The sequence below is a fragment of the Homo sapiens genome, chromosome 14, assembly GCF_000001405.40.
Source record: "Homo sapiens chromosome 14, GRCh38.p14 Primary Assembly".
In the NCBI taxonomy this organism is placed as follows: domain Eukaryota; kingdom Metazoa; phylum Chordata; class Mammalia; order Primates; family Hominidae; genus Homo; species Homo sapiens.
In genome coordinates, this window is record NC_000014.9 from 39735074 (window position 1) to 39760804 (window position 25731).

General features: G+C 35.9%; 1 long non-coding RNA gene across 3 annotated transcripts in view; it reads left to right on the forward strand.

Annotated features, from left to right (window-relative positions):
- The window catches only part of LOC105370461 (uncharacterized), a 433650-nt gene that overhangs the window by 302725 nt on the left and 105194 nt on the right, over nt 1-25731 (forward strand). The window lies entirely within an intron of this gene.

The window sequence follows — 25731 nt, forward strand, 5'->3', positions numbered from 1 at the left end:
GTGAATCTCCATATGCTGTTCTGTCCATCTGAGTGGAAGCTGCAAGTTAGTCCTGCGTCCTATCTGCCGTTTTTTGCTTTTTTCCTTAAATATATTTTCCTCTATAACATGACTCATGCAGTTTATGTCATATAAACTGCAAAATGCCAATGGAATCTGAGTTGTAAAGAATTTGTAGCATAATAATTGCTGGTTTATTAAAATAGATAAGTACCAAAAATAGGAAAATAACCACCATAACTCACATCTTTATTATGACTTCACTTTTGAAGGATAATTTTTAGCAGGGTATATATTTATAGACTGGCAGTTATTTTCCCTAAGAACTTGAACTAGTGATTTTATGTTGCTGCTACCTAAATCCTGGCACCTATAGTCTACATAACAAGGTCTTATATTGGCATTTTGGAATTTCTGCTGAGGGATTATATTGAGACTAGGACAGATCTAGTAATCAAATCAGGCTAGATCTGATCATATTTGAGACTAGTAACCTTTAAGGATTAGTATTCAGGAAAAATAAAGAACTACAAATCAATAAAGGAAAGAAACAACATGTAAAATGGGCATAGCATATAAATAGGGATTTCATAGAGGAGAAAAATTGAACCTCTAATGAACATTTGAAAAGATAATAAACTCATTGATAATCAGTGATATTCAAATGAGATACTATTGCGCACATATAAAATTGGCAAAAATTAAAAAGATTGAGCTTATGATGTATTGATAATCATGTCAAGAAATAGGAACTCTTGAATACTGCTAATGAATTTTATAAATTGATAGTAATAACTATTGCAGTATTTTAGCCTATGAAAAATTTTAGTGGATAAATTGAACAAAGACTTTATTCAAAACTGTTATGATAGGGAAGAGAGATTGAAGTCAATTCCACTTTAACAAAAAGTGAGAGGGATTTTAAGCTTTGAGCTGAGCTCATGGAAAAAGTTCTGGAAGGCTTTAGAGGAGAGGTTGGTCAATGTGATTAGGCCATCTCTGTTTGCTAATTGTTGCTTATTGAAGTTAGGCTCTTACCCTCCCACAGAAACCAGAATATTGGGGTGTTGCCATTCTTGATAATTACTTTTCAAAGGGGATGTTGCTAGGTCCTTGAGGAAGACTTTCCTGAGATGCAAAACTGGCATTCTGGGGTTATAAAACAAGAGGATTTTAAGAAGATTTACTTCTCTAAGGGGCAGAGAAATAATTTGCAATTACAAATTTTCTGAAGTAAATGCTCTAAGAAAAGGGAAGTCAGGGGCCTACAGTCAGGAAGAAACCTATCTAAAGTTGAGTCAAACTAAAGAGAATGTTAAGGCCATCTTGGTTTCTTTGAAGAACAATTTGGTAATATCTGGTAAGGTTAAAGATGCATACAATCAAGGACCCAGACATTCTATTTCTAAATATATACTCTAGGGAAATTATTGCACCTGTGCACCAGGAGATATGTGCAACAAAATTCATTGTAACATTACTAGTAGCAAAAGGTTGGGGAAAGGAGAAACATTCATCAAAAGGAGAATGAATGAAAGTATATTATGGAGTATTTATACAATAAAATACCAATGTCAAGGAAAAAATACAAGTTCCAGAATAAAATAGGTAATGTAATACATTTACACAATGCTATATCTTCATGAATAAAATTATGCATAGGAATTATACCAACTTTTATTTTAAGATAGCAGCGTTAGTGTAGGGGGAAGAAAAGAGAATGAGATTGAATTGGGTTATGTTGAGAGCTTCAGTTCTCTCTATAGCATTTTATTTCTTAAAGAAAAAAATTATCAGAAGCAATTATGGCCACAATTTTAGACATTTTACATAAAATACTTTAAACTTTCAAAATAGAAAGTAACCTTACAACTTCCTAACTTGCTGAAGTTTAAGCTCACTGAAAGTTTAAATTGCAGTAGCTCTGTAGGAAATATAAATATACGGTATTGGTCTTTGTGTATATTTTAATATAAATGGTATCATATGTACCTGTATCAGTTTCCTATGGCCACTATAACAAATTACCACAAACTTGGTAGCTTAAAACAAGAAATAATTATTTCCTCCCAGTTTTGGGGGCCAGAAGTTCAAAATGGGTATCACTGGGCTGAAACCAAGGTGTCAGCAGCACATTGTTCTCTGAAGGCTCTATAGAAGAATCCATTCCTTGTCTCTTCTGGCTTTTGGTGGCTGCTAATATTCCTTGGGTTATGGCCACATCACTTCAGTCTGCAAGAATAGCACCTTCAAATCTCTCTGTCTTCACATTGCTTTCTCTTCTGCGTGTCTGTGTCAAAATCTCCCTCTCCTCTCTCATATAATGATACTTATGACTTTATTTAATACCTCCCAGACGATCCAGGATAATCTCTCCATCTCTTGACACTTAAGTAAGCACATATGCCAAAAGCTTTTTTTCAAACAAGGTAATATTTAGAGGCTTCAGGGATTAGGAATATTTATATTTAGAACCATTATTCAGCCTATTATAGTACCTACCGTCCAACTGATGTTTAAAATTTTACAATGGAAATTATGGGTGTTTTCCATCATATTAGCATAAACCTTTCTCAATCAATGCCTTTGCTATAGAGCATGCCCAGGATGAGTATTATGTATTTTGATTTTCAGTTCTTAAGTTTAGAAGCAATGTTTTCATTTTTTCACTATTACAGAAATGTCGTAATGATTAGTGAAGGTGCTGCAGTGACCTGTACTATAACTTTTGTTAAATCTCATAGGTATGGGATGAGTACTAGGTTTTAGTGGTGGTAAGAGGAAACATAGTTCCATCTGTATGGTTTCATTTTTCTTAGTAAAGAAATGCAATTGTGTATTATTTATTTACTTTAAATAATTAAATAATAAATAAAATAAATGTTTAAATATAGCTTGGTTTTTGACACTATTACTCATTTGAACTTTTATTATCAATGTTTATGATGTATCTCAATCTTAATTTCTAAACTTTGAATGATTGTTTTTTGTTGAAAGATCAAAGCAACAAAACAAAACAAAAATTATAATGATAGCTTACCTGAGTTTCCGAAATTATTAAAAAGCACAGTGGTTCCAGTTCTGGCAAAGCACTACTTACATTGAACTCACTGAATTGCAACCATAATAATAGGGCATTATAGAAATCATTTGCTAAACTAGTATGATTTTGATGCTACTGAGACTAATTTCTTAAATTAGACTATAGTAATAACAATAAAAATTTGAAGAGTAATTTGATGCTTTGAGAAGAATTAGTTAAATACAGCATAATCTAATCAAAAGTTGGTTATCGTTGCTGAAAGTGTTAAATTTATAATTACCACTTTACACTTTATGTTAATATCTACTTAGATCTACTTTTCATCAAACTAGTTTATAAATAGCCCAAGTGCAAAATCTAAGATTAAGTCATGTTTGTTTACTTAAACTAAATATATTTAAATGAATGAGTGAACAAATTGAGAAAATTAACTTCTAAGGATCTCTAAGATATGAGCACTATCTGAAGCTGTGATTATAGTGATTGTTTATTAACCAGAGGAGAGCTTTCCTAGCAAGAAATGCTCATAGTTCAAACTTTCTTAGCAGTTGTATTTGACAATAAGCAGGCATGAGAAGTTTAGAACTTGAGAGCAGGCTTACAAGTAATCAATACAAATAAGTTGTGATAAGTATATTGTATTTTCTGGCCTCAGAAGATGTTTACTCTTTCTGGGTAAATTGACTTAGTATCTCAAATCAATACCAGAATTCAGATCAGGTGTCTGGAATACTATTATATTTCTACCAGAGTAAGGAATATCTCCTACACAATTGCATTTGACTATGTTTTAGCATTTCAGTAGTCGATCAAGGCAGTCATCTTTTGATGTGTGGGTCTGAGTTCTCTCATTTACATCCTAATTATATTTATATTAATTTTCTATAAGGATATAGCAGAATTAAATTAAGAATATAGTTTTGAAATATAATTTATGATATGAAAATCTTTTTAAAGTGGAATGTTACTTTTAAATTAAATGAGGTATGATTACCTGATCCAAAGGTAGAACAGATGGCTGAATAAAAGCCTCCACAGATCATTCTCCCTGAAAGAACACCAATTAAACAACTATCTGCACCAAAAAGCACCTTCATCAGAACAAAAATCAGGTGAATGATTACAGTACCTGTTTTTCTCTTTTCTTTTCTTTTTTTTTTTTTTTTGAGACGGAGTCTCCTGTTGCCTAGGCTGAAGTGCAGTAGCGCGATCTCGGCTCACTGCAGGCTCCGCCTCCCGGGTTCATGCCATTCTCCTGCCTCAGCCTCCCGAGTAGCTGGGACTACAGGCGCCCGCCAACATGCCTGGCTAATTTTTTTGTATTTTTAATGGAGATGGGGTTTCGCTGTGTTAGCCAGGATGGTCTCGATATCCTGACCTCATGATCTTCCTGCCTCGGCCTCTCAAAGTGCTGGGATTACAGGCGTGAGCCACTGTGCCCGGCCACCTGGTTTTAACTTCATATTATAGAAGGAGGCACTGAAGGGGATAGGAAAGACAGTCTTGAATTGCTGATGCCATCCTTTCCCCATCCTCTGGTAATGGCCACGTAGTGCACAGAAAGAATCTGTGTGCTTTGGGGAGAAAGAGCAAAGTGATGATGGGACTTTGCATTGGAACTCAGTGCTGCCCTGTCATAGTGGAACCAACCCTAGACAGAGCTCAGCTGGTGCCCATGGAAGGAGATTTAGACCAGCCCTAGATACAGGGGACTCGCCTATCCCAACTGTAAGAACCTGAGTTCTGTCAAGCCTTGCCACTGCGGGCTAAAGTGCTCTGGAGTTCTAAATAAACTTGAAAAACAGTCTAGGCCACAAGTACTGCAATTCCTGGGCAAGTCCTGGGGCTGTGCTGGGCTTGCAGCCAGTGGACTTGGAGGGCACAGGACCTAGTGAGATGCCAGCTGGAGTGGCCAAGTGAGTGCTTGCACCACCCTTCCTCCAACTTCAGGCAGCACAGCTCTCAGCTCCAGGAGATACTCCTTCTCTCTGTTTGAGGAGGGGAAAGGACAGAATAAAGAGGACTTTGTCTTGCAGCTGGGGTACCAGCTCAGCTACAGTAGGATAGGGTAACAGGCAGAGTCCTGAGGCCCCCATTCTAGGCCCTAGCTCCCAAATGACATTCTAGACACACCCTGGGACAGAAGGAAACCCACTGCCTTGAAGGGAAGGACCCAGTCCTAGCAGGATTCATCAACTGCTTACTAAAGAGCCCTTGGGCCCTGAATAATCAGTGATGGTATCCAGGCAATACTTGCCTTGGCCCTGGGTGAGACTCAGATATGTGTTGGTTTCCGGTGTGACACTGCATGTTCCCAGCTGTGGTGCCTAGAGGGAGGGACTTCTTTTTGAGAAAAGGATAAGGAAGAATAAAGGGGATTTTGTCTTGCAGCCTAGGTACCAGGTACCAGCTTGGCTACAGTGGGGTAGAGCACCAATGGGGATTTTGGGATCTCTGATTTCAGGCCTTGGCTCTTGAGAAGCATTACTGGACCTGCCCTGATCCAGAGGGGAGCCCATTACCTTGCAGGGAGAGTCCCAGGCCTGGAAGCATTTACCTGTAGCTGACTGAAGAGCCCTTGTGGCTTGAATGAACATTGGCAGTAGTTAGGCAAGTACTTGCTGAGGGCCTGAAGTGGTAGGGGCCATGGGGATTCACCTCTTGTGGAAAGAGGAGGGAAGAGTGGGAAGGACTTTGTCTTATGGCTTAGGTGCTAGCACAGCTGCAGTAAAATAGAGCACCAGGTAGTTTCTTAAGGTTTCTGACTCCAGGCCCTGGCTCCCAGATGGTGTCTCTGGATCCACCCAGGACTGGGGAACTTGCTGTTCGAAAGGGAAGGACACTAGCCTGGCTGACCTTACCACCTGATGATGGTAGAGCCCCAGGAATGTGAGTGAACATAGAAGTTGTGATGGATACCCCATTTACACTGATGTGATTATTATGCATCTATGCCTGTATCAAAATATCTTATTTACCCTATAAATACATATACCTACTATGTAACAACAAAAAGTACAAATTAAAACAAATAATTAAATGAAGTATAATTTGAAAATAAAATAGATAAGTTCCAGTAACATGAAAGAAAACATCTTTGAAGAGATTGTAGTTTTTCCCACTGGAACTCCTTAATCTAGATCTTCTGCCAAAAGCAGATCTTTTTCTTTTTATTTAGAAATGCACAGAGCTATTTTAATTTGATTTATTTTGGATTAGAAAAGACTTTATTATTCTTCATGTTATTTTATTTTATTTTTTTTTTTAATTTTTATCTTTAATTTTCATGGGTACATAGTAGTAAATATTTATGGGGTACATGAGATATTTTGATGCAGGCATACAATGCATAATAATCATTTCAGGATAAATGAGGTATCCATCACCTCAAGCATTTATCATTTCTTTGTGTTACAAACATTCCAATTATACTCTTTTAGTTATTTTAAAATATACAATTATTTTTGACTATAGTCATCCATTGTACTATGAAACACTAGATTCCATTCATTCTGTGTAACTGTATTTTGCACCCATTAACCATCCCCACTTTCACCTCCTCCCCTGCTGGCCTTCCCAGCCTCTGGTAAACATCATTCCACTTTCTATCTCCATAAGTTCAATTGTTTTAATTAGTCCCCACAAGTGAGTGAAAACATGTGAAAGTTGTCTTTCTGTACCTCACTTCACTTAACACCATGACCTCCACTTGCATCCATGTTGCAAATAACAGGATCCCATTCTTTTTATGGTTCAATAGTACTCCATTGTGTATATGCATGATATGGTTTGGTTGTGTCCCCACCCAAATCTCATCTTGAATTGTAGCTCCCATAATTCCTATATGTTGTAGGAGGGACCCACTGGGAGATAATTGAATCATGGGAGGCAGTTTTCACCTTACTGTTCTCATGGTAGTGAATAAGTCTCACAAGATCTGATAGTTTTTATAAGGAGTTTCCCCTTTCACTTGGCTTTCCTTCTGTCTTTCCTGCCATCATGTAAGACATGCCTTTCATCTTCTGCCATGATTGTGAGGCCTCCCCAGCCACGTGGAACTATGAGTCCATTAAATCTTTTTCTTTATAAATTACCCAGTCTCAAGTATATCTTTATCAGCAGCATTAGAATGGACTAATACAATGTACCACATTTTCTTTATCCACTCATCTGTTGATGGACACTTAGGTTGCTTCCAAATCTTGGCTATTGTGAAGTGCTGCAATAAGCATGGGAGTATAGATAACTAGTTGGTATACTGATTTCCTTTCTTATGGGTATATACCCAGCACTGGGATCGCTGGATCATATGATAGCTTTAGTTTTAGTTTTTAAAAGAACCTTCATACTTCTCTCCATAGTGGCTTACTAATTTATATTCCCACCAACAATGTATGAGGTTTCCCTTTACTCCATATTCTCACCAGCACTTGTTATTACCTGTCTTTTGGATAAAAGCCATTTTAACTGGGGTAAGATGATATCTCATCATGGTTTTGATTTGCATATCTCTGATGATCAATTATTTTGAGCATCTTTTCATATACTTGTTTGCTTTTCATATGTCTTCTTTTGAGAAATATCTATCATATCTTTTGCCCATTTAAAAATTGTGTTATTAGATTTTTCCCTATTAAGTTTTTTGAACTCATTATATATTATAGTTATTAATTCCTTGTTATATCCTCTTGCTGAATTGACCCCTTTATCATTGTGTTATAACCTTCTTTGTCTTTTTTTATAGTTTTTGTCTTGAAATCTGTTTTGTCTTATATAAGTATAGTTACTCCTCTCTTTTTTGGTTTCCTTTGGCATGGAATATTTTTTTCCATCCCTTTATTTTCAGTATATGTGTGTCTTTATAGGTGATGTGTGTTTCTTATAGGCAACATATTGTTGGGTCTTGTTTTGTAATCCATTCAGCCACTCTACATCTTTTGATTGGAGAGGTTAGTCCATTTACATTCAACATGATTATTTATAAGTAAGGACTTACTATTGCCATTTTGTTATTTGTTTTCTGGTTGTTTTGCGGTCTTTTCTTCCTTTCTTCTTTCCTGTAGTTTGACTTTATTGTTATTTTATGGTATTATATCCCTTTAACTTCAGATAAAAAATATACCACCAAATTATTTTCATTTCTTCTTTTAAAGTGAGATTAAGCTTCAATTCCTTAGCAAGATTCTTCAAATGATTAACTGCACTCAAGAGAATTTATTGAGTACTCGCTTTGCTTAAGGGGAAAGGATTGGGTGACAGAAGAGAGGACAAAGTAGAAGACATTGGAACTATCTATAAGAGTTTATAGCCTAGTTGTGGAGATAATACAGATGCCCATTGAGCATATGGCTGCCTGTGGTCCAGAGTCTCCAGAAGAGGCTGAAGGGGAGTCTGATGAAGGAAGAGCAGCTACAGACCCTCTCATCTTGCAAGGAAACCTTTCAAGATGAGTAAGTTGTTGAATATGTTGGGAAGAACATGACTATTTTTAGGGAAATAACTGCCTATTGGCAGGTGGGTGGGAGTTCATGGGAACTCTATGCATCAAGGTCCTTGTTTGCATACTCCAAGTTCAATAGAATTACTAAAGCCAAGAGAAGCAAGAGGGTTAGGACAAGAGCACCAGCCCCAAAAGCTGTTTGCTGATTCTGGGGCAATAGTTGCATCTCTCTGTACTAGATTTATATTTTTTCTTCTGGGTGGGTGGAAAATGATTCAGTTTATATCCATACTCAGAGAGAGGAGGATTTGTGCAGATCCTGATTACCACAGTATTAGGAAATTTACAACAGCACCCCAAGCATTATATAACTATTCTGCAAATGTTGGATTAGAAAATTTGCTTCTTTGGAGAGCTATTATCTTTAGGGAGAATTTTTTAAGAATGCACTTTAACTTAATTTAGTGCTTATTTTTCAGGCATAACTAGAAAATATTTCATTAATATACTTCAATTCAAGCTGTCCCTAACCTTGCCAGTCACAGATAAGATTAGAAAACAATATTTCAAAAATTTCTGGCTCTATTTTTACCACTCTCACTTGCTAATTTAGGGCATCAAGCTTTCTGAAAATTCTTCTCTGAGTAGGATGACTATCATGACTGATGAAAAATGTAGCCAAAATTTATGCTTGTTATATCAGTGTCTTGTCTTGTTTTGCATTTGTCCCAGATTTCTGTGTTTTTTTTTTTAACAATTTATTATTATTTATCTTTGCATTAGAATACACCTGTGTGGATTTGCTAGACACCCTCTTGGTATGCCCACTTTCTGCCTTGTTCTTTTCTGGTAATGTGTGAGAGTCACATGCAATAACAGAGTTCTCACTTTAATACACATTTATATCTGAAAGCATGACTAATGATAATTCTCTCTTCACAGCCCTTTCCAGACTCAATGTAATACCTCTCTTTCAAGGACAGTGTGAAGAGTGATAACATCATGTTTTGTGGACAGGATGGCTATTTTGCCTTTGAGATGGTGGTCAGAAAAATATTTGGCACTTGATATATTAACCAGTTATCTCCTGGCCTGTAGAGTTTTTTTTTTTCCCAACAGGAAGATTAAATTTATCCTACATAAGCAAGGAAAAAACTAATCCAAACTAAACAAGTGCTTAAATAAGGTACATAATTTAATTCTGAAATTTTATAATTGTGTCTTGACTTCTGGGAAGAACATTTTGATGGAGCTATAATGTTTAATTAGATCAATTTATATTCTTTATGGGAATGAGATAAAAGGGAGAAAGCCTATGATTTTGCAGCATGCACAACTAATGAGATTTAGTAAGACTTTTAAATAGAGAAAAGCTTTTCTTAACAAATATTTTAGAAGAAAATTCTCAATGGCGACAAAAGAAAATTATCAATGGAGACAAAACGACAGTAGCAATACTTGGCCTAAACTATTTAAATGGGATATTTATGGGAATAATATTTTATGGGAAAAATATTTTATGGGAAAATAATATTTATGGGAAGAAAATTATGGGAATGAGATAAAAGGGAGAAAGCCTATGATTTTGCAGCATGCATAACTAATGAAATTTCATAAGACTCATAAATAGAGAAAAGCTTTTCTCAACAAACATTTTAGAAGAAAATTCTCAATGGAGACAAAAGAAAATTCTCAATGGAGACAAAAAGACAGTAGCAATAGTTGGGGTAAAATATTTAAACACTGAAACAACAAAATTGGAATTGAGAATATTCCATATCTGGAATATTTTTTTTCTGTGGGTTTTCTAGGTGCCTCAGTGTCTATTGAGAGTATATTTCTGCTCAGTTAAAATATTGTCTATAGAAAAGAGTTAATTTTAGGTTTCTGTACATCTATTATATATCAATAAATAAAAATAAAATATACAGAAAAAATTTTAGGCCTCAACAGTTTCAAATTTACTAATCACAAAATGCAATTTTGAGATGATTGCAAATAATTTTATATATAAGGCTCTTTTTAAATATATACATTGTTCTGTAAAATACCATTGACATGGTATTACAAACAGATATAGTTGAAAAGCTGATTAGAAGATTGTGACTATATTCAAAGGCTGATCTGCTTACATTATTTTTTCATGTTCAGATAATAAAAATAAAGTAGTACTTTTTCTTTAGTTCAATATACCTTGAGGAATGTATATTTTTTAAGAAAACTTTTCCTTTTGGAAATATTTTTTAATTGATCTGTTTTATAAGAACAACTCTATGACAAAATCAACTTATTTGTCCATAAAAAAGTTTAAAATTATTTAAATTTGCTTATTTATAACAACCCCCTACACTCTCAGTTCTGTCTCTGTTTGGATGATAAGTACCTTTCCTTCAGGCACATGTAGGAATTCCTAGGACATTTCTTATAAATGGTGCAATAAGTTGACATATCCAGGGCCCTGCTGAAACTCTGCCTTTTCAGCCAGAGTCCCCACTATTCTGTCAGGTTCATGCCTCTGCCAGGTGTTACTACTGCTTGGTAGGAACTGTGGTAGGTGTCATGGGGTTGGCAGGCAACAGTGTCCTGTAGCGCAGACTGGAGTGCTGCTTGGTGGTACAATGGTTCCTCTGCCTTGAGAAGGCCGATGGTGACCCTTAGATCAGAGGAGAAGTTGGGGAGGCATAGTGTCTCCCATTTGTCTTAGCTCTCTTACAGGGTCCTGAAAAGTATGGCTGTGCTTCTGTGATTTACAGTGTTTTTAGTGAACTTGCTTAAGTTTTTGCTTAGTGTCCATCTGATTCTAGGATGTGTCTAAAGACTTCCCTTTCAAATAGATACTTGTCAGTCTATCCTCAAGTTTATGAGACATTTCCAGATATATATCAGACTTAGCAGTGGCATAACTTGAGTTGTTTCACAGGAGACACCTGACCTCTTTCTTGCAAATAGGCTTCTCTCAACCTGTCTTGCCAGCTAAAGTCTGAATTCCCACAGTGGGCACAGCCTAGACTCAAATTTAGAATTCCACTGAACTTAACAAGTAACAAAGTGTTTAGAACAACTCTATCTTGAAGGCATTCAACAAGTATCTATCAGGTGTCTACAATAGGATAGACACAGTGTTGCCAGTTACATAAAGATATCTAAGTTATGGTTCTTCAAGAATTTTGGTCTAATAGACACATAGTAATGCATAATTATAATACATTGTGATGACTTATGTATTATTAGTTTATCGAAGTATAATGATAACATTATAACACAAGGGGGATATGCATATGCAAAGAGATGGAGATACAAAAGAGGAAACTATGACTTCAGAGTCCTGGAGTGTAGAGGTTTGCTTACGGTTGGGGAGAGTGGAGAGGAGGGGTTGAAGCTAGTGGTGTGGAATGTAGATTGAAGGGTAGACACAGATCAAGTATAAATATAATATTCACTGTTAAAGAACATGGATGATTTAAAATCACTGGAAGATTTTAAATATGGAAGAGAATTGTACTTATACACGTTTTAAAGAGATGACTCTGGTTGGAGAAGATGAGTATGGATTAGGTTGCACTGGTTACCCGATGAAAACGAGACAGAAAGATGAATGAGAGTATTGCAATTGTCTAAACAATGCACAGTGGCAATAGAGAGGGTATTTCAGATTTGTATATTATTTAGGATGCAGAATAAATATGGCTCAGTGACTGGATCTAAGCGTTGTGTGAGAGAGCAGTAGAAGTCTCTGAAGACACCTGGATTTCTGATCTGGATATCTCTGTGATGTACTTCAAACAGGAAATACAGGATAGGAAAACATTTAGGGAGGAGAAATAATGAGTTCTGTATTAGAAATGACTAGTTAAAGGAGGAAGCAGGAACGGAAAAAGGAGATAAAATGCAGAGAGAAAAGAGGCAGGAAAAACAAATATGGGAAGAGATAAAGGCAGAAAAACAACATAAGAGAAAATTATAAAAGATGCAGAGTGACATGTAAGTTTATATTTGAGGAATAATTCTATTTCATTTCTTGGTAGTATGTACCTAGAAGCAATGTCTGTTTTGATTTTGCAGTTATAGGCATTGCTGTTGTTTTTTATTCATGATTACAAATCGAGTAAGACAAAGATCTGGTTTTTAAGTTGGAGGAAAGTGAAGAATGGCATGGAAAAGGGAGAGAAAATAAGATAGGTCCATCCTGGTTATCCTGCAGTAAAACCTGTTTTTTTCTATGATTTCAGCTCTTGGAAAGGAATTTGCATCTTTAAGATTAGAATTCCAGGGAAACCAACTTAAGTTTTTAACTGGATTCATATTCAGTTAACATATTGAAAACTGAGGAGCAAGAAAGATGGGGTACATAAAGAAAAGAAAATGGTTGACTTTAGTTTCTTTCTTGACTAGATAGCCATAACTACCTGTAAAGGCACAAGTAAGGCATAGAATCATGGAGTTGGAAAGAATTCTTATAGACTAGTTTCTAATCGTTGCTTCCATAATTGTTTTCACATAAAAATAACCACACAAGCTTGCCTGACCAAGTAGTTTTACATTTACAGAACTATTTGGTGGGATGGTATGGTTGGTTTACGAGTGAATATAACACATCTAAATAAACATGCCAAGAAGTACTCATAAAGAATTGATTTTTTAAAGGGAATATAAGCCTTGTCAAAACTGTGAACCTTACAACAATCAACATTTTATTAATAAAGCTGTTAAGAAAGATAAATTGTTTGAATTTTTCTTCATGATATCACTATGTACCAAAAATATTCTCTATAAATTTTGTCCTGAAATCACTAAGGGCAGATATGTTTTGAAATATGATTTATATTAGAATATCCAGTCAACATCCAATTGATTTTCAGTTCCTGAAACTGTGGCTTTAAATTTAATCAATGCAGAGTACGGGATCAGTAATTAAACAGTAATTTTTTTCAAGTGGAGGAAGTTAATATTGTAAATTTCTTAACCATGAATAGGTTCAGGCTCTTAATGTTTTGGTAAATAATTCTGGGAACAAAACAAAGCTTTCAATTACATTATTATTTGGGGCCTTAGTAAGTGGAATTTAAACAAAAGCATTATATATAAAACTATCACAGCAAAGGTGTGTGACAACCCGAGAATGACTTTACTAACTTAAGAGACAGCCTCTTCAGATATATAAGGACTATCTGATTCTTTTGATCACTCACCTGCCAACTCATAAGAGATGTGCATGGAAAGCAAACAGTTGTGCTGGGCAGAAGAACAAAATTAGGCAAGAAATGATCAAGCTTCTAACAGATGGCTTTTCAGAAATGGCAACAGTAATCTCTCTAACATCTCTGTGGCGAATACAGAAATTACAATTACTTTCAAACTCCAATAGTGTAGAAACTCAGTACTTATTTAGCCAATACTATGAATTCTTTTTCTAGCAGCTCAGAAATACTAGGGAAATAGACCTGGAGTTGCAGTCACCACAGGGTAGGGATTGCTTTCTTCATTCTGTGGCTATCTTGAGATCTTGGCCTGAAACATGCAGGCTGTGGTGCTATGAGAAAGGACTTGATGGCTCAATGGTGGTCAAATTGGTTGAGAGGGAAGACTGAATTATCTCTTAGTGACACACTGATCCATATGCTATCTCAAACTTGTGTAAGGAAAATTCAACAAAGTCTTGGCAATTCAGCATGCTGAACTCTGTTGACCACAAGGTGATAAGGTCTATAATGGGAAAATCAACCAGAGACTTTGCTATAATAAACTTAAACAAGAGTATCCCTAGTGGTCTACACCATCTTTTTCAGCCTAAAAGGAAAAGATGGGGTGCAGTGGTGATATTTCAGATAGTTTTTGTAACAAAAACTATCTGAACTTAGCAGTTCAGAACTAATATGTCTCATAGGCCATGTATTATGCACAACATGTACAGAATCAGCTGCAGCCAGTTGAAATTTGATGTGAATCGGAACACCATGAGGTACTTATTTACTTCAAACAGCTCTCTTTTTTTTTTTTAAGACGGAGCTTCATTCTTGTTGCCCAGGCTGGAGTAAAATGATGCAAACTTGGCTCACTGCAACCTCTGGCTCACTGCACGTCCGCCTCCCCGGATCAAGTGATTCTCCTGCCTCAGCCTCCGTGGTAGCTGGGATTACAGGTGCCTGCCACCAGGCCTGGCTAATTTTGTATTTTTAGTAGAGGTGGGGTTTCACCATGTTGATCAGGGTGGTCTCAACCTCCTGACCTCAGGTGATCCACCCAGGCCTCCCAAAGTGCTAAGATTACAGGTGTGAGTCACCACGCCTGGCCCAAACAGCTCTTCTTTTTGAGAGTTGCTACAAAATCAATATGGAATTTCAAATTTTACTTTTTAATGGATTTTAATGCATAAGTAATGCCAGAATACATCTGGAGGATTTTATAGCAAATTCCAGACCTCAGATAATCTCACACATTAAAAACTATGTTTCTCTAACACATTTTTTTAAAAAGCATAATTACAATAATGTTAACATACCCAACATATTTAACATTTATTCCTCAGTATCATCTAACACCCAGTCTATGTTCTATTGTCCTTCATTATCTCAAAAATATCTTTTTATACTTTGCTGGAATCAGGATGTTAGCAAGACCCACACATTGCATTTGTTTGCTGTATCTCTTAAATTTCCTCTCCTTTTTATTTTCTTTTTAATCTATAATTGTTCCCCGTCTTTTTTTCCTTTCATTTATTCATTGAAAATACTGGCTCATTTGTTCTGTAGAATTTCCCACTTTCTTGCTTCGGCTAATTGTTCCTCCTGGTATCATTTAACATGTTTCTCTTCCTATATTCCCTGAATTTTCTGTAAATGAAGTTAAATAGAGATGCTTGATTAAATTGTTTATTTTTACCTCCTTGTTTAAAAATGTACTTCATAAATAGTGCTGTATACTTCTTACTGCACAACATAAGAAGGCACATATATCTTATTTTCTCTCTATGATGCTAAGTTTGATGAGTAGGGTCAGATGGTATCAGCCTAATCCCTCTGTTATAATTCCCCAAATGTTTTTCACCTAATGGTTTTAGCAGCCATTGATGATTTTTTCTTAAATCCATTATCTCATTAGGGATTGAATTCTAACACTGCCATTTCTCTTGCATTTATTAGTCGTGAGTCTTCCATAAAGAAGCTCTTTCAGTAATTATCTGTATGATTCATGTGGGAAGTCAGGAATAATGCCAGATTTTTTCCATTTGTTGATTAATTATCAGTATAATGAGTTGATGCCTTAGCAACATCTAAGATAACCAATTCATTTTTATTTTTTATTTTATATTATATTAAATGTATTTATTGTGCATATCATGAACTCATGATTACATATAAATATATGAATGCAATATATATTTATCTTGTAAATAATTAAATATTATATACCTATGAATGAAATTTTTATGCTTCAATCTATTGGAGTTCTTTTTCTTTTTCTTTCTTTTTTTTTTTTTTGCTGCTCAAATTGTTCCATCTTTGGCTAGTGGGAACCACTCCAAGTTGGCACCTATGTTCTTTTAACATGACCCCGGTAGTTTTTCATGGTTTTCTTACTTTCAGTCATAAGCAAGATATTATAGGCTTATTTTGTACATTTCTTGCTCCAGACCTGAAATCAGCTATTTCTCCAAGTTCCCTGATTTCTTTTAGTGGGTAATGGCATTAGGAGACCACATCTGGGCATTGAGGGTCTTCATTGCCTTTGGGTTGTCATTGCTTTTAGGCCTTTTTAGTGGACAGAGCTAGGAAATAGGTATATTTTGTAAAGATAAAAATAAATTATGAGTTTATACTAATATTTTAGACTCAAATTTATTTATTTAACTTATTTTAGTATCTTTTAATATATCTATTATGATTTTGACTACCAACATCCATGTTAATAACATGGATGTTGGTGAATATTATATTTTTCCATGTGACTAGAAATTGTGTGGGTCTTCACATGCTAAGTAATGTTTGATTGTATCCTAAATACTCTGAATTATTACATTTTGAGGCTCTGTGGCTTGTTTAAATTCTATGAAGAATGTCATTTTTCTTTTTAGCAGTCATCGACCCACTAAAGTCAGGCTGCAAGTTCCAATCTGACTTTTGTGAGCTATTTCGATGTCAGTTCAGTTTTCAAAGCCTTTATAGTGCTCTTTGGATCTGCCTTGGGAGTGTGTCATCCAGTGATCAATTTGTAACCTGGGCATGGTCTATCTGTGAGTGCAGTTCCCAGCATCTTTTGTATGCTAATTCAGGTGAGATCCATGCGTGTGTGTGGCTCGAGGGTAAGTCCTGGCATTCATAAAAATAATTTTACGGGTTTATTTTTTTGATCTCTTCACTTTCTCTAATCTCCCCCAAGTACTTTCCTGGTTTCTGGAACTCTCTTTTTTGTCCTTTGGCCAAAAACTCGTGGCTCTTTAATGACCTTACTTATTGTGTTCTGTCACTCACTTCTGCAGTTTAGTCTGTCTTGGCCCAAGCAGAGGGAAGACAGAGGAAAAAGAGCGCAATCGGATTTTACTAACACTTTAAGAACTGTGGTTTCACCTATGAGAGGAGGAGTCACCTCCCTGAGTTCTGGCTCCTGTGGATTCTGGGAGCTGCTGCTCCATAGAATTGCCTGAAGAGCCGGGCGCGGTGGCTCACGCCTGTAATCCCAGCACTTTGAGAGGCCTAGGCGGGCGGATCACGAGGTCAGGAGATGGAGACCATCCTGGCTAACACGGTGAAACCCCGTCTCTACTAAAAATACAAAAAATTAGCTGGCGTGGTGGCCGACGCCTGTAGTCCCAGGTACTCGGGAGGCTGAGGCAAGGGAATGGTGTGAACCCGGGAGGCGGAGCTTGCAGTGAGCCGAGATCACGCCACTGCACTCCAGCCTGGGCGACAGAGCGAGAGTCCGTCTCAAAAAAAAAGAATTGCCTGAAGACTGGGGTACTAGAGGAGGAGCAGTGTGGGCTGACAGTCAGGGGAGTGGGGACTCTAGGGGATTTCTGCATTTCTTTGGAGCATCAGGAGTACCTTTTTAGGACCCTCAAACTAAAGCTAGCAGGCTTCTCCTGGCTTTCTGTCTGTATCACAGTGCTCACTTCCAGGTTTCTGGCTTTGGTGAGTTCAAGTAGGGGGATACTACAGGAAAAAAACATTAAAACTCACCTTCCAGGATTCGATGGGACTTAGAATTCTGGTAACACCTGCTGTTATTTACAAAGTCTTAAAAAAGGTGCTCATGCATTCTGTCTTGATTTTATAGCTGCATTCAGTAGAAGAAAAAGGTTGAAACATATATATATTTTTTTGAAATCTCAACTGGAAACTTAATCCTTTAAGTCTGATTCTGTTTTTAATTATGTGAAACATTGCATAGTTCAAAAGTCAAAACTATGAACAAGATACACTTAGAGAAGTCACGTCTTTATTTCTGTTTTTCCCCTCCCCAAGAGGTGTCTATGCTTTCTGAGTTTTGGGATTATCTTTTCCTTTTTAAATATTAAAAAGTAAATATTAATATTTGTATTCTGCCCTCCCCCTCATTATTATGGAAAAGGTAACATGCCATGCACTCTTTTGTATTTTGCTTTTTTTCTCTTAATTATATATTCTGGCAATCATTCCACAGCAGTACATAAAGAATTTCCTCATTTCTTTTTAAGACTACAGTTTTCCATTGTATGAATTTAAAGTGGCTTTTTAACTAGTCTTTCATCAGTAGAAATCTGCATTATTTCTGGGCATTACCTATTGTTAATCAATATGGTTTTAAATCCAACTTTCCTATTCATTTTATTTGGGAAAATGGAATAGAGTAAGAAGGCATCATAGTTTTCTTTATAGTCAAAATCATGTTATCCTCCAGATGTAGTTTATAGCTAATGCTGTAAATCTCTTTTAAATAATTCTTAGATTTATTATACATGCAATAAGACTAAGATATTTGAATGCTGGGATTTACTCATTAAAGACACTGTCTTTAATGGCAGTCCACTCTTGGTGATGGTGATTTGTGAATAGCATGAATTTTTTACGCAATTTCCCTTCTGGTATTGTTGGGAGGAAAAACCTGCCAGTTTGTCAGCACTGAATTGTTAATTGAAAAATAGGAAACAGGGCACTAAGAGAGAAAATAGCAGAGGTAATAGTAACGATTGGTAGCAATGAGGTTGCTCCACAAATTGGAGTACGGTGCTATGAATACTGGATGGGAAACAAACTGAGACCCCATGAAGGAGTCACTACATCCAACAGGAAAGTACAGCAGAGTGTAGGAAACTAGAAAGCAGAAAGCCTGTGGGAAGTTGATGGCAGCCCTCTGCTGCTATAGTCCTTTTTCAGAAGTCTATGATCTCACCCCCATGGACATATTTCAGTTGGTCTTAAATGGGGAAACCAACATTTGGTATTTTCCTTCTCTCCATCTCTAGTTTAAAAGCACACTTCTGAGAAATACATAAGGTTAATTTTTCTATATCATTAGCCTGAAGATTTGGATCAGAAGATTTCTCCCCCAACCCCTTTCTTTCCCAATATCAATGTTTCCTAGTACAGGAAACAACACAATCTGGGATTTTCAGGGGCATGTAGTTACAGGGCTTTTACGTTTAGTATTGCTCTCAGGGCATTAGACTAACATGTAAGAATAATCTTTGAGCAAAACACTCCAGCATAGAATAGATAATGTCATAATTAAGAATGATGTAAGATATCATAAGAAAGAGAACCCCAGTGAGGCTAATGACCAGCATAAATTTCAAGTACTTAGCAACAGAGTCAGCTGTGTGATGTTGTGACTCTTGCAGTAACATAAGGGGCTCCATTGTCAATTTCTGCTGGATTTTGACCCCTAGGTGACATTATTCTTGAACAATGTTCATCCCTTTACATTCTGGACTTTTACAGCTAAGAACACTTCCAATATTAAACTTGAAATATTTCTGTTAAGATTCTGAATTGTATTCATAATGTTGTACCCTGAGAACTGGTACCTGCGACTGTGTTCCATTTTGGAAGTACTTTATAATTCTATTTTTTAGCCTGAAGTAATTCAGCTATACCTGCCTTAGGCTGAAGAAAATATTAAAACCTTGAATAGTCAAAGGAAAGCTTGAAGTTCCTGCTTTGCTGTTAGAATAGAACATGTGATGCCATGTGTGGTATCTCACTTGGATAAATAATGGTAGCAGTAGGATGGTGGCACTGAAATTTCAATTTTGTGTTTTGCTTTTATCACTTGGATACCTGAATGTTGTTCTTCTGGAAGTCATTCCAGGTTCATCCTCTGTTGATAGTATATGCCACATTTGCAGTCTTAGAGATCCAGGTTATTGTGAAGTATTGAGAAGTCAAGAGGTGCACAGAATTTCCAACCTGAAGGTGGTCAACTTGACGTAACCATTGAGATGTATGACTCTTTGATAACATCCTCAAGCATCTGGTATTGGTGGAAGTGTTAAAGAAGGGGAATGAGTATTTACTGAGTGTATTAGTCTGTTCTCACATTGTTATAAAGAACTACCTGAGATTGGGTAATTTATGAAGAAAAGAGACTTAGTTTACTCACAGTTCCACAGGCTGTGCAGGAGGCATTGCTGAGGAGGCCTCAGGAAACTTACAATCATAGCAAAAGGTGAAGGTGAAGCAGGCACAGTCTTCACACGGCTGGAGAAGGAGAGAGACAACAAAGGGAGAAGTGCTACCCACTTTCAAACAGCCAGATCTCTTGAGAACTCTGTCATGAGACAGCAATAGGGAGATAGTGCTAAACCATTAGAAACCACCCCCATGATCCAATCACCCCCCAGCAAGCCCCACCTCCAACAATGGGGATCACAGTTCAACATGAGATTCTGGTGGGGACACAGAGCCAAACCATATCACTGAGCATTTCCTATATGACAAGTAATCTGTCAAGTGCTTTACATAAATGCCTTACATAATCCTCATGACAAAACCTAAGTGGTATTACTGCATTAATTTTTAAATCAGGAAAATGAAGTTCTAAAAGTCTAAGTAATTTGCCTAGTGATACACAGACCACAAGTAGTGGGACACATGTTTGAATTCAGATTTATTGGCTTGGTTCCCTTCTACCATGCCTCACTGAATCTCTCACTAGCATAAGATTAATCTTTAAAAGACTGCAACCACCAGTAGGAGCAGTAAAATGCTGTTTAACAGGGCTGGATGTGGGTGTTGTGGAAGGGCCTTATTAATATATTTACAGGTATATTTGTAATTGCCACAAATCTCACTTTAACCAGCACATTTGATGTGGTTTATTTAGGATATGTGGCTGATTGAAAGACACTACTAAAATACTAAAAATATTTTTTCTTTCTTAGACTAAAATACTTACACTTATTCTAGTGAGTTGCTGTAATGTTAAATATAGATACAATAACACTGGTTTCTTTTCATAAATTGAAATCATAAGATGTTTTGAATGTGAGCAAATATTGGGAAATTTTAAAACTCTATTTATGGCATCTTTATGGCTTTGAATATCCTATGACATAAAATGTGTCCAAGACTCCCTTTCTAATCAGACATAATCATGATGGGGGTGGGGAGAAGACAGGCCTTACATTAGGTGATGAAAGCACTCAAAGCCTTGACTATGGTTTAAATAAGACAAACTTTAAGTAGAGGGTCACATGACTTTTTAGTATGAACTCTTTTCATCTCTGGAACTCTTTGCCATCTTTAATAATAAGAAGTAGAGCTTCAAAGCTTACAACTTGTGAGAATCCAGGTGACTGTAATGGGTTCTTCTGTGCTTACTTTACCTGAACTGAGTGAATAACTATGGACATCTCAGAAGGTCAAGTGGCTAAAACTTGTCTTTAAATAACTAATTCTGTCAGATCTTCTCATTCTGAATCAAGGATGAGGCACCAAAAATGTTTAAGATCTAGGAGTGCTAAGAAAGATATAAAAGAGGATTTTAAATTTTGTAATTGCATTCCAACAAATAGATGATCTGTCTGCCTTTAAGCACCTGGATGTTGAGAGCTTAATGTAATTGACCTCATACAGGTTGTGAAGAAAATTAGAAATGCAGTCTCATGCTGAGAGCTATCAACAACTTGGATCTAGCCTGAGGCTCAGCTTTTACTACCTAAAAACATACATGTATTTATTTCCCAAAGTGCATTACTTAGAACACTAGTCCTATAAGACACTCCGTGGAAAAAAATGTTCCATAGTTAAATTTAATTTTGGGAAATAGCATATATCTATCTCTTAGATAATTATAATACACTTTAACGTATAAAATAAGGTTTCTGATAATTCAGATAGTAAATGAAAACCAAAAACAACAAAAAATTATTTAACTTTGTTTTCTATTTATCCTAATGATGTCTCTCTCTCTCTCAACACAGACACATACTCATCACTCCTTTTAGGACCTTATAGAACTAGTAATTATGGCAGTATCTTCTTGGCATAAAAATAGGCCAATGGAATAGAATAGAGAGTCCAGTAACAGACCCTTATTGTAATTTGACCGAGAGGACACTGAACTGCAGTGGATAATGTATGCTCTTTTTGATAAAAGGTACTGGGATCGATTGGATACCATTGGAGAAAAAAAAAACAATCCTTACCATGTATCTAAATATAACAGGTAAAACAACATGGCTTTAGAAGAAAATATATTAGAATATCTTTATGACATGGAGAACAAACTTATATTAACACATAAAGTAAAAAGAATGGTAAATTGGCCCACATTTAAATTAAGAATTTCTCTTCATCAAAAGACACCATTAAGAAAATAAAGAGCCAAGCCACAGATTAGGAAAAAAATATTTGTACTATATATGAAAAAAGACTTATTCTTAAAATATACAACAAAACTGCTACAAGTAAGTATTAAAGAGACGCAATCCAATAGAAAAAATAGACAAAAGATTTGAACAGTCATGTCACAAAAGAGGATATTCAAATAGCCAAAAGAGATATAAAAAAGTTGGCCAAGTACAGTGGCTCATGCCTGTCATCTCAGCAGTTTGGGAGGCCAAGGTGGGAGGATCACTTGAGGCCAGGAGTTTGAGACCAGCCTGGCTGACATGGTGAAACCCCGTCTCTACTAAAACACAAAAATTAGCTGGGCGTGGTAGAGCGTGCCTGTAATCCCAGCTACTCGGGAGACTGAGGCAGGAGAATCACTCGAACCCTGGAGGCCGAGGTTGTGTTGAGGCAAGATTGCACCACTGCACTCTGGCCTGGGTAATAGAGTGAGTGAGACTCCGTCTCAAAAAAAAAAAAAAGATACAAAAAGTACTCAAACTCATTAGTTATAAGACAAATGAAAATTAAAACTACAGTGTGATTATAAACTAATGACCTAAAATAAAAGAAAATTCCAAGTGTTGTAAAGGATGTGTACCAATGGCAACTCTTATCAACTGTTGGTGACAGTGTAAATGAGTATAACCACTTGGGAAAGCTGGTTGGCAATAATGACTAAAGCTGCATATATGCTTCTCTTATGACAACATGGATCATAGGATGCTTAGATTACATACACAGCAAAAATGCATATATGTGTTCACCAAAAGACATGTACTAGAATGTTCATGGCAGCATTATTTTTGAGGAATAATGGAGTCTCCCTGAAATGAAGACAACCCAAATGTTTATCAGCAGTAGAATAGATACAGTGTGATGAATTCACACAATGGAATAACATACATCAGTGAGAATGAACTTCAACTATGCATAACATGGATAAATCTCACTAATATAATTTTGAGTTATAACAGATGAAAAAGAGTGCATGGATGATTTGTTTACATAAAGTTTATAAACAGGCAAAACTAATCTCTGGTATTAGATATCAATGCAGTGGTTACTCTGGAAGGGGACTCATAGGAGATCCTGGGATGCTAGTAATCTTTCTTCATCTGTGTGTTGGTTTCAATTTGTGAAATTTATTGAGTAATGTACTTATGATTTGTGCATTTTCCTAAACATTTGATATAAACTTATGTGCCACATATGACATTTTGATCAATGACAGATTGCATATACGGTAGTCACATAAGATTATGATACTATATTTTTACAATACCTTTTTATGTTTAAATACGCAAATACTTACCATTGCGTGGCAGTTGCCTGTGTTATTCAGTACAGTAACGTGCTGTATAGCCTTGTAGCCTAGAAACAATAGTCTATACCATATATCCTAGGGGTGCAGTAGGTGTATACCATCTAGGGGTATACATTCTGTGATACTTGCACAACAACAACATTGCCTAAGGACTCATTTCTCAGAAGGTATCCTCATCATTTAAGGGATGCATGACCATACTAAAATAAAAAGTATGCTAAAAAGAGCAGATACATCAAAATACAACTTTCCTTAAAGAAAGATTCTTAGATCTGGGCTTCCAAGGAACACACGGGAAAATGCTGACCTCCTCACACATTGATATGTATTGTTCAAGACATATATATTTTTATTGAAGTAAGATCAGATGAAATGATATTCTAGCAAAAACATTAATGGATACTTTTTCAATTAATGTCCAAATTTATCATTATTTATACATTAAAGATGATGCAGCACTGAATGATAAATTATGAAGGAAACATTTAATGCACATTTGAAAAGTAAAGAAATTAGATGCATCTTAATTATATAAGTACTAAAGATCAAACAGATTTTTTTTTTAGTTTTGAGCAACAAAAATAGAAACTTTCAGTAACCTTATAAGAAATGTATAAGTAGCATCTTCAGCAAACAGCAATGTTGTGGATTTACTCATGGTAATTAAATCATTTTTTATATTTCAGGTTTCCATTTATCATTGAAATGTAAGAGTTAATTTGCACAGATACAAATTTATAAAATATAATCCCCTTTCCCAGTTCTCTGATATGTGTTTTACCGTGTCAGAGACATTTTTGATGACAGTGTATGCCTGGATCTTGGTGTAGATACTTTTCTCTTACACTAATTAAATAATTAAATCACTTGTTCCAGAAAGTTAAAATGCCAAATGTCTAGGTTCTCTGCTTCCACAGACTTCTGACTCTGACAGCCAACAATTACTCTAAGTGTTTGACATTCAGAAATTGGAGAGAATAGGTCAGGACTGTGGTAAGTGGGTTTGCATTTTAAATAGCCGTGATTGAAAAGAGAGGAAAGAGATGTGTCCAGTGGCAATTTCTGTTAGTAATTTTTTGTGGTTCTCTTAAGACTTTGTTTTTTCAAGAGAAGATGAAAACTAGACTGGTTGTTCTTACCCCAACTTTATTTTTTAATAGTAATCTCTCTGGAAAATTATAGGAATCTGAAAGTATAACAATTCCAAAGTTAGATATCATATTTATAATATAGTCAAATGAGATCATTGTAGTTATTACCATGATGCACACTTTCAAGGGAGTTAGAATCATTGAATATAGCACTACATTTTTTTGGTGACAACAGCTTTTGAATGTCCCTGCTTAAATTACTTTTTATATAGCAAACTTATACTTCGAAGATTCTTTTCAATAAAAATGTAATATTTTTATTAATCCTTTTCACTTGGGTTTACACAGGAAGGATTGCTTAGAAAATTTAAATTATTAATTCAATCACAATTAGCCAATGCTCTTAATTTTTTCCTTCAGTAGAAATGTTTGCCTTATATTTTGAAGAATGTATTTGCTTGCGTTTCATTACTTTTATTTTCTCTTCCATACCTGCTGTGGAAAATGCAAATAATGCCAATAAAATTAGCAAAGAGGAGAGAAGAAAGGAGGAGTAGCAGCAGTGACAGCAGCAAGAGATTAGGTGTAATTAGCAAATTTAATAATTCGTATCTAAATAACCAAGTCACAGGTCAAATCTCATACCAGCTCCTCCATGGGAAATTACATTTTTGTTGTTGTACTGAAATTTTATGGTAATAAATATTATAAAAGATAGGGGAGTGTCAATCCTTTGTCATTGACTTCCTGAGCCAGCAGCAGGTAACTGATGGAGTCTGAGCCTGTGTGTTGACAACCTCATGGAGCCCACATGAAAATGGTTGTGTAGTGATTAACAAGTAAAATCCATGATTTTATGCCATTAGGGGATGCGTAATAGTTGCTACCATTATGGGGTATTACGACAACGTGCAGTGGAGTAGAGGTTCTAGGGCCTGTAGGATGAATACCATTTGGGTCTCACCAAGAATCTGGTGGAGATTCTTACTGATTTCTTAGTGCATTTGAAACTTGGTATCCGAACT